The sequence below is a fragment of the Homo sapiens genome, chromosome 14 (assembly GCF_000001405.40).
Source record: "Homo sapiens chromosome 14, GRCh38.p14 Primary Assembly".
In the NCBI taxonomy this organism is placed as follows: Eukaryota; Metazoa; Chordata; class Mammalia; order Primates; family Hominidae; genus Homo; species Homo sapiens.
The window spans coordinates 36,644,174-36,652,909 of record NC_000014.9 but is presented as its reverse complement, the minus strand read 5'-3'; the positions used below and the strand labels follow the sequence as shown (position 1 = coordinate 36,652,909).

At 44.5% G+C, this 8,736-nt stretch overlaps 1 annotated feature.

Annotated features, from left to right (window-relative positions):
* Positions 4,729-5,558: an enhancer, noted in NCBI's record as "H3K27ac-H3K4me1 hESC enhancer chr14:37116557-37117386 (GRCh37/hg19 assembly coordinates)". NCBI's record gives its function as "activates a minimal SCP1, AML or CMV promoter by ChIP-STARR-seq in naive H9 embryonic stem cells {active_cell/tissue: H9 hESC(naive)}" and the evidence as "EXISTENCE:reporter gene assay evidence [ECO:0000049][PMID:30033119]".

Sequence of the window (8,736 nt, the reverse complement as noted above, 5' to 3'; positions counted from 1 at the left end):
ACTAGGAAAAGAAATAATGATCCCATTACTCCATGTAAAAAACCTTCATAATGCCAGTTTAAGGCTAAAAATTAAATCCCTGAAAGTCAGAACATAGAAAAGTCAAAATTCTTTTAGTCTGTCCAAATCACCCTGCTTCCCAGGCTGTATAATGCATGGTACATTTACAAGCCTCCCCAGCAAAGCCAACAACCAGTTCCAGCAACCAGGCACTGCTGCTGCTGTGTTTTAAAGGGGAAATGCTGGAGCACCACCTGACTGGGCAGATTTTCCATTTGCAGTTTGAATGTTTCATGCCAGTAGATTTTAGCACTTTCTTGCTAGATGAAAGTACTATACTGCATGCATTGGCAAATGGATTTAAAACTTAAAGAAAGCAAATTAACTTATAGGTAACCAAAAGCAATTCAAAACAAGAGAGAGACACCGTAAATACCTCGAAGATTTTCCAGGTACCTAAAACTCTCTAAATCCAGCTGTAGCATTCTAGATCAGTGCTATACATTTCTCCAACTCTGATACAAAATGAAGTTCTTCAATGGTAATTGATGTAAGTAGGTATATTTTCTTCAACCCTTCCCCAATTTTTATTTTAGAATTTAACATTTATCCATCCAGTTTTCCCAAGAGGAAAAAATACAGTCAGTAGAAAGATGTGTTATTTAAATTGTATTCTGAAAATTCAGACATAGCTCATATAAGGATTATAACTTCCAGAAAAAGTCTTCCCTACCTCTTCTTTCAATTTTAAAGTAGCTAAAAGTATGAGTTTTCTTTTACAACCAGACTTATCTATAATATTTTGGCTGTGAAACAAAATTACTTAAGACTTTCTGTTTCTCTTACATCAAAGCGTATATATATATACACACACATATACACACACACACAGAAAACAGAGGGTTAACCTGGTAGAGTTGTGTGTAAGTTGAGCCATGGCTTCTGGCCACAACATGCACATGATCTGTGTGTTTCATCATGTAACTGCTAAGGCACATGAGGGTTTTGGGGGATAAAGGTATTAGGTACATAGGAGACATCATTATTTCTATTAGAGCAATTAGTCTCATGGAGAAATATATACCCTTAGGGCAAAATATACATTGAGTTTTGTAAAAGGAATGAATAACATACACTTGGATATCACTACATAAAAGCTGCACTTTTTTTCCTCTATAGGAACATTTTTTGTGTCAATAAAAATGATGAAGGCAAAGCTAGGCAGCCTGGACGTGTCACCAGAACTCAAGGCATAATTTGGGATTTCACAACTCTATCACCCAGCTGTCCAAAAAAAATCCCAAACATATATTTTAAAGCCCTCCTGAAGACATGCTTCTCATTATACAGCTAAGCCTCAATTAACCAGATAACTCAGGAAAGTATTTGAAGGAGGACATGGTGTCTCGTGAACATTTTCTAATGTCTTTGAACAAAACAGAATATAAGAAAAGGAAGTGTGTGCATGATGTACTGTCCCTTATGATTTTTTGACATGAAAAACACTTTAGAAATCAACTCAGGTCATTTCCATGCCTTCCCCAGAATATAGTATAAGAGGGGTAGTTCAGAAAGGTGAATCCAAATGGATGCTTCTTTGATAACCACAACTTTCTGGTAAATATAATACTTAGGTAGAGCAGAATGGGGATCATTATATATTACTGTGACAACAGTGAAAATCAAGATAGAGAGTCTGAATAGCTGGTTCTTGGGTGAAGAACAGTATTTTGAGAAGGAAGATGAAAAGGGGAGAGGGAATTGTTTTTGTCAAAGATTAAAGAGAAGACATTTTTTCTCCCTTACCTTACTCCACTCCCACCACTCCAGGCATCTAGGGAAACCCAAATGAATGCTGGGATTAATAGCAGAGGGATATAAACATTGTAAATTAAATTCACTGCTATTTTTGCTACAACAAATATTGCCAACAAGTTTGCATATATATGTGTGTCACAATACATTTAATCAATTCATTTATAAGAAAAATTTGTCAACTTATCTCTGAAGATAACCCACAGTATGAGATTTTCAGAAACATGTCAAGCTCAAAGGACTGAATTTAGACCCCTTATTTGCTTCTTAAGTCTGCTAAAGATATGTGTTCAGCCTATGGGCTGCATTGTAGGTCCATAGGCCCTTTCTTCCCTGTCCTCCCTGGAAGTCAGTACTGACTTGGGGAAACACAAAGTCTTTATTTTGATGCATATTATCACTTGTGTCTGAGAACCTGGCATTAAGAAACGGTAATGAAAATTACTGCAAACTGTACCAGCCAACTAGAGAAAGTTATGGACACTAGGAGAGTTTGCTTTTTATAGTACTTTATCCAATACTTCTCTCTTCCCTTAGCTTCATCCCTATTCCTTTCTCTGAGATTCTTTCTCTCTTTCTTTTTCTTTCTTTCTTTCTTTTTCTTTCTCTCTTTCTTTTTCTTTCTCTCTCTTTCTTCTCTCTCTCTCACCCCCCTCACACACACACACTCTGCACCCATACACTCCCTAGAAGAAAGCAGCATTTTACATAAGATTTTGGTTTTTAAAATGTTGTTTTCTCATTAAAATTCCATGAAATACTTGAAAGCACACCAGGAAACTAAGCATAACATTACCAAGAAGAGTTCCAGCGAGGTCCTAAAGAGTTAGCTTTCTTCATCTAGATTCCTAAACCCATCATAAATGCATATATGCCTGGATCAATCTTGGAGCTTATATTTTAAACAATCCGTGAAAAAGTATATCCAGACTTTTACATGTTTTGGAGAAATCACCATGCAGCTAACACAAAGTCAACCTTTGCCATCTGTACTTGCTCACAAATCCCCAAAAGCAGGTAGATTGGCCTTAGCTACACAGCATTAAGGAAACACGAGCTTCAGCCAATCCAAAGTGGAGTTTGGAGCGATGAGAAGCCACTCAAAGTTATCAGTGTTCTGTGGCTGTTCTCTGATCCATGGTTTAAGTCCACTCATACAGTTGGACCAGAAATGATGATTTTGACAAACTCCAGTTTATCTCCTGGAGCTTTCTTGGAACATCAGTTTGGGTTATTTTCTGTAGTATAGTTGTACGTGCCAATCTCAGGGCAGCTGCCTTTCTTTAAGCTCATGACTGAGGGTGGCAAGAGGTAGTGATTAGTCATCTAACCTCTCAATAGCTGTAAATACTAATTGAATATTTTGAACAACTCTTCAGGTCACATGACAACATGTGGCCATTTGCTTCTTAGACTTCTATTGCATAGCTCGGGGAGCAAATATTCTTTAATAATTGTTAAATATATCTTACAAATCTTCCAAAGAGGAAAAAGTCTCCATCCAAAATTAAACACAGGTTATGTGCTAAAAATGGGCAGTTGGAACTAAAACATAGCTGTTATTATCTTTTCTACAATAACATTTACACACTATTAACTTTTCTGCAATAACGGAACATTAAAGAATAAAATGTAAATTTTACTGCTTTATTTGCAGGGATGAAGGTCAGAGTGTCAAATTGCAGATTTTGGATCCTCAATAATGGGCCGCTGTATTTAACCTCTTCAACTTCTTTTCTCCACTTATAAGAAGGAACAAAATAAAATGTTTTGTGGAAGTTTATATTGAAATGAGGTCAGGTAAACTAATGACTGCTTGGTATTTTATGACAAGTTTTATAACCTTGGAGTTGCCATAACTTTCAAACGATCATCAATAAAGTTTTATTGCAAAAGGGTCGCCATGTGTCTGAATGCTTTTGCACATAGTAAAGCTATGCTGCCCCATTGTCGTAGCTCACCAGCCCCTTTTCACCCCAGCCATAAAGTCCTCTTCTTTTTTATTGGAGGTTGAAAAGTCCTCGGGTCTGCTCTCCTCCATCAAGTTGGCAATGTGGGAACAACACAGAAATTAAACTACATGATTAAATGATCGTACACAACCAAATCTTCAAGAATATGTAATAAGACTGCTTTTTAATAATTATAAATTTGGATTTTAAATGGGTTCCATTTAATAAAATAAATGACAGTGGGCGGCGGGTGGGAAAGGAGGAAGTCAGATGAGAGTTTCCTCCAGAAACTTGTGTTTGAATGTTAGATAAGACCTATCAGTCTACCCGATATACCCAGAGGGCTGCCATTAAATAATTAGGTGCTTAGGGACCGATAATGGTCTCAAGACAAAACAACGAATTGCTAAAGACTCTTTGAGCTGACCCGAGGATCTTAAAGATTTAAGAGGCCTCGCATTGCGTCCTAACTTGAATTTTCCCACGGAGGGAAGGGTTGGGCTACAGCTCATGCTTGCCCGATTGCTGCCTAACACATTCCCTAAACGCTCCCTAAAGCCAAACCAAGAACTTCAAGTGTCCACTTCACGGCATCAGCTGTCAGGTTCAGGTTCGGGTCCGCCTACTCCTTGTCCACTGCCGAATGCTATGTGGAAATGAAGCCGAGAATAATGTCCTGCGATTTAGATGAAGAGAACAGTAAGAAAGGTAGTATGAAACGAAGCTTCTACTGACGCGCCCTTCAGACAGGTATTCCGCAGGCGAGGGTTGTGACCCAGGGAGAGAGTGCGGGAGTGCTAGCAGAGCGGCGGGAGCGGAAGGAGAGGCTGGACGAAAGTTGGAAAATCATCCCATCTCGGGACTTGAGTGCGAGAGCCCGCCCCGGAGTCGGCAAGTCTCCAGGGTTAGAAGGCCCTAGCTCCAAAGTTTTTTGTCCCGGCTCAGGCAGGTCCCCCACCTCTAACCTTCCCCGATTTGCCTGGTTGCTCTCGGGGAAGGGACTGGTAAATACCGCCCTCTCCCGGATTTCCTGAAACTCTCACCAGCGCGCTGAACCCGCTCCTTCCCACGTTCGGCGCCCCGCACTCTGCGTCTGCGCCCACTGCGCGTCACCTTCCCTCCGGCCGAGACCACTAGAGCCCTAGATCCGGGATCTGCGGAGGGAACAGGACCTGAGCCCCTGCTGGACCCTGCAACTTGGCTGCGGAGAGCGCGCAGCCACAAGCGCCGTTCCTCACTTGAGGGCTTCGCGAGAGCTGGCTCAGCCCCGCGGGTCCCCGCCAGTCCTCGCCAGCCCTCGCCAGCCCCGGTCGGCCCCACGCTAAGTCCGCAGCAGGCGGGAAACCCCGCAGGCCTTCCCGGACTCACGAACTGCCTACTCCCACCCCTAAAGAGCTCAGACCTGAAGGTGCTCTTATGGTGCGTGGCCGCAACCCCGGAGTGGAATGGGTGGGGGGCCTCCATGGCGAAGGAGACGCCGTGGGCGAATCGGCTCCCAGCTCGCCCCTCATGTCCTACAGGTCACTAGCCGAGTCCCTACCCCGGGCGCTCCCATGAGGCACCAAGAGCAGCCACGGCCCAGGGAAGGGCCTGGGTCTTCACTGCTGGAGCGGGCCCCAGTCGAGGGCGCGCAGGTGTCGGGGTCCCCAGCAACCTCCGTATGCGCGGAAAGCCGTAAACGGGGTTCTGAGGCCGGCGCCAGGCACAAGGATCACCCCGCGCCACGGGCCACGGCTCAGAGCGCCCACGAAGCCCGGCTGCCAGGTCCAGGCCGCGGCCGGGCGGGACCCACTCGCTCCCCACGGTGCTGGCGCGGCGGGAGTCGGGCTGGTTAAGGCGGGAGGCCGGCACTGCCACGGGCTGTGGCGCCCCCTCCCGAAGACACCTCGCCGGAAGTGCGGCTCCCGCCTGGCAGGCGCTGAGACTCCTCGGCTGTAGCGCGAAGGCCCCGGTCCGCGCAACTTCCCATAATAACGCCGCGAAATGCCTCCAGAAATGCCTGTGTGGTATGGTGTCTGAGCCAATGGTCGGCATTCGTCTTCCCCAAGTGCGGAAAAGAGGATCCCAGCTCCCCGGGATGAGCTACGTACCCACACACGCACGCCGGCCCCTGTGCCCCCGTCAGGGGAAGCGCAGAAAGGCGGGGACTCCCCGGGACGCAACTGCCTAGTATCACCTACCAAGAGAAGTTACTTTTTTTCCGGGATCACAGAACCCCCCCTTCACGTCCCCAAGTCTCCAGCAAGAAGTGGGAGAGGACGTGTGTGGCTCCCCAGAAGCAGGCTCCAAGTTGTCCCGGGGGCAAGCCCTCTGGAAGGAACCTTGCTCTGCTGACCCAACTTGAGCAGGGCCACCCTGGCTGCGGTCATCTCCACTCCGGCCTCAGGGACGAACCCAGCCGCTCTCTACACCACCACTGGAAAGGGGAGACCCTTTCCTCTTGTATATGCCAAAGAGGTTAGACGTTCTTTTTTCAGAGTAACATTTAAAAAAGAAATTAGATCAGACAGAGGGAACAAAACTTCTCAGAAATATAGAAAGCACAGTTTTCTGAGTTAGGTTTCTGATGGTAATAACAGTCAAGACTGTTGAGGGGAACCTCGTTCAGGAGTTCTTTTCTATGGCTTCATCTTTGACTCAGTTTGAGAACTTGGGCTTCTCTGTCATTGAGCACTGAATAGAAAAATAGCAGAGTGCTAGCTAATTTCTGCCTCTGCACTCCTGTAAGCTGCTATAAGCCCATCTTATTAAGATCAGCTAAGGCTGTGAAGGGAGAATCTCAGTGTGGAACGCAGGAGATGGATCCTCCTGTCCAGTTAGCTCTGCAGAACAACTCTGGGTTTCTTCTTGCTGTAATTATGCAGCCACTTTAATGCTGAACTGAGGAGGCATAGCTGCCCTTTTAAAGCTTTGCCCAAGGAGCCATAAGTACCCATTTTCGTTAGTCTAGAATAGCACGCTCATATATTTAACACATATTTATTGAGAATTTGGTATGTGTCAGGCACTGTGTGAGGTGCTGGGGTACAATGACAAAGGAGAAAGACATGCCCTCACAGACAAGATGAAACATCTGGCTGACAGGATACTCCTCTTAGCTCAGGTTCTCTGTAGGGCTGGCTGTTTCTTGCTGGCAAAGGCAGATTTTCTTTTCCATGCTTGAGGACACGGAAATACAAATCCTCTTTAGAAGTCTAGGAGAAGGAGGCCACAAGGGAAGTGGATTTTCCAGCCGAGCTGAAACCTAGCTTCCAGATTCCTGAACCCAGGTGGCTGAGGACCCTTCTCTTGTTTGGATGTTTCACCTGATGTGGTATGGTCTTCCTTCCTTCTTGTAGCTTCCTTCCTTCCTTGTAGCTTCAGGAGGACAATAGTATCATCAAAAGGCAAAAATACCCAGCCAGAAAAAGAGATGTCCATAAATAGTGGCAGGCAGCTGGTACTTCACAATCATACCCTGTTGTAACACAGCAAACCCTGCACGTGCTGCTACCCAGTCAGTAGGGCAGGGCCACCTGTCTGTCCATCTCTCTGCTTCCTTCTTTCCTAAAGACAATTCCCCATTCACACTGTGTACCCTTTGATGTCCTGCTGAAGATGTTCAACAGGCCCACTCAAACAAGGATTGGCAGGAGACCCTCTCTGGACCCTTCAACACAGAATTTGGAAAACCCCAAAGGCCAGCCAAAAGGAAAGGTCCTGGATAACAGGCATCAACTTTCATATGGGGTGGGGGGCCGGAGGAGAGGAGTGGGAAGTGCGGTAGAGCCTGGGGAGGGGGTTGTGGTGGATTTGGCTCCAGGCTTTATCCCTTTAACCTTTCCCTGTCACTCTTTTCAGAGGGCTTGCTTCCTGCCCTTAAATGAAAGCCACAAATCACAGCTCTTGCCAGGCCAATAAACATAATTTTCTTTTTTGATAAGGCTGCTAGAATGAGGGGATGCTTATATCTTACTTTTGCACATGTTGCAGTTTTGCAAAGCATGTTTACATATATTATTTCATTTATTAATCTTGATAAACTTTCACTGTCTGCATATGGGGAATTGGAGACACAGAGAAATAAAGTGACTTTTATCTAAAGTGGAAGGTAGCAGAGTTGGGAGAGCTACAGACTTGTGTTTCAATAAGGCATTTGATAAACTATTTTATGGTAACCTTGGGACCGATGTGGCCTGGGTGACATAATGGTTGAGTGGCCCATTCATTCATTCTTTGAAATAAACAGCTTTTCTTTTAAGCATAGCCTATGTGTCAGGAACTGAGCTTAATAGTGGAGATACAAAGGTAGATAAGCTATTGTGCTTAACGAGCTCACAGATAAGTGAGAGAAGAGACACGTAAAAATATAATCACAGTAAGGCAATAATATAATGTAATGGAGTTAGATACAAAATGCTATGGAATACAAGAGAGCACCAAAGGGTGGTCTTAGGCTGATGAGAGCTTGTTGGAATGCTCTCATATGTAGAAAACATGACATTAGAAAGGATAAGAAATTTGAAGGCTGGGTATGGTGGCTCACATCTGTAATCCCAGAACTTTGGGAGGCCAAGGCAGGAGGATTACTTGACCCCAGGAGTTTGAGACCAGCCTGGCCAACATAGAGAGACTCTTTCTCTACAGATTTTTTTTTTTTTTTTAATTAGCCAGGCATGATGGTGCATACTTGTGGTCCCAGCTACTCGGAAGGCTGAGGTAGGAGGATTGGGCCCAGGAGGTCGAGGCTGTGGTGAGCCATGATGGTGCCACTGCACTCCAGCCTGGGCAACAGAGTAAGACCGTGTCTCAAAAAAAAAAAAAAAAAAAAAAAAAAAAAGAAAAGAAAAAGAAAAAAGAAATTAGAAAAAGGACGCAATCATACAAAAACAGCTTAATAGGCAGAATAATTGACTATAAATAACACTAATCAATATATGAGTAAATATAGAATTCTACACTCAGATACAAAATAATTGAACCAGTGTAT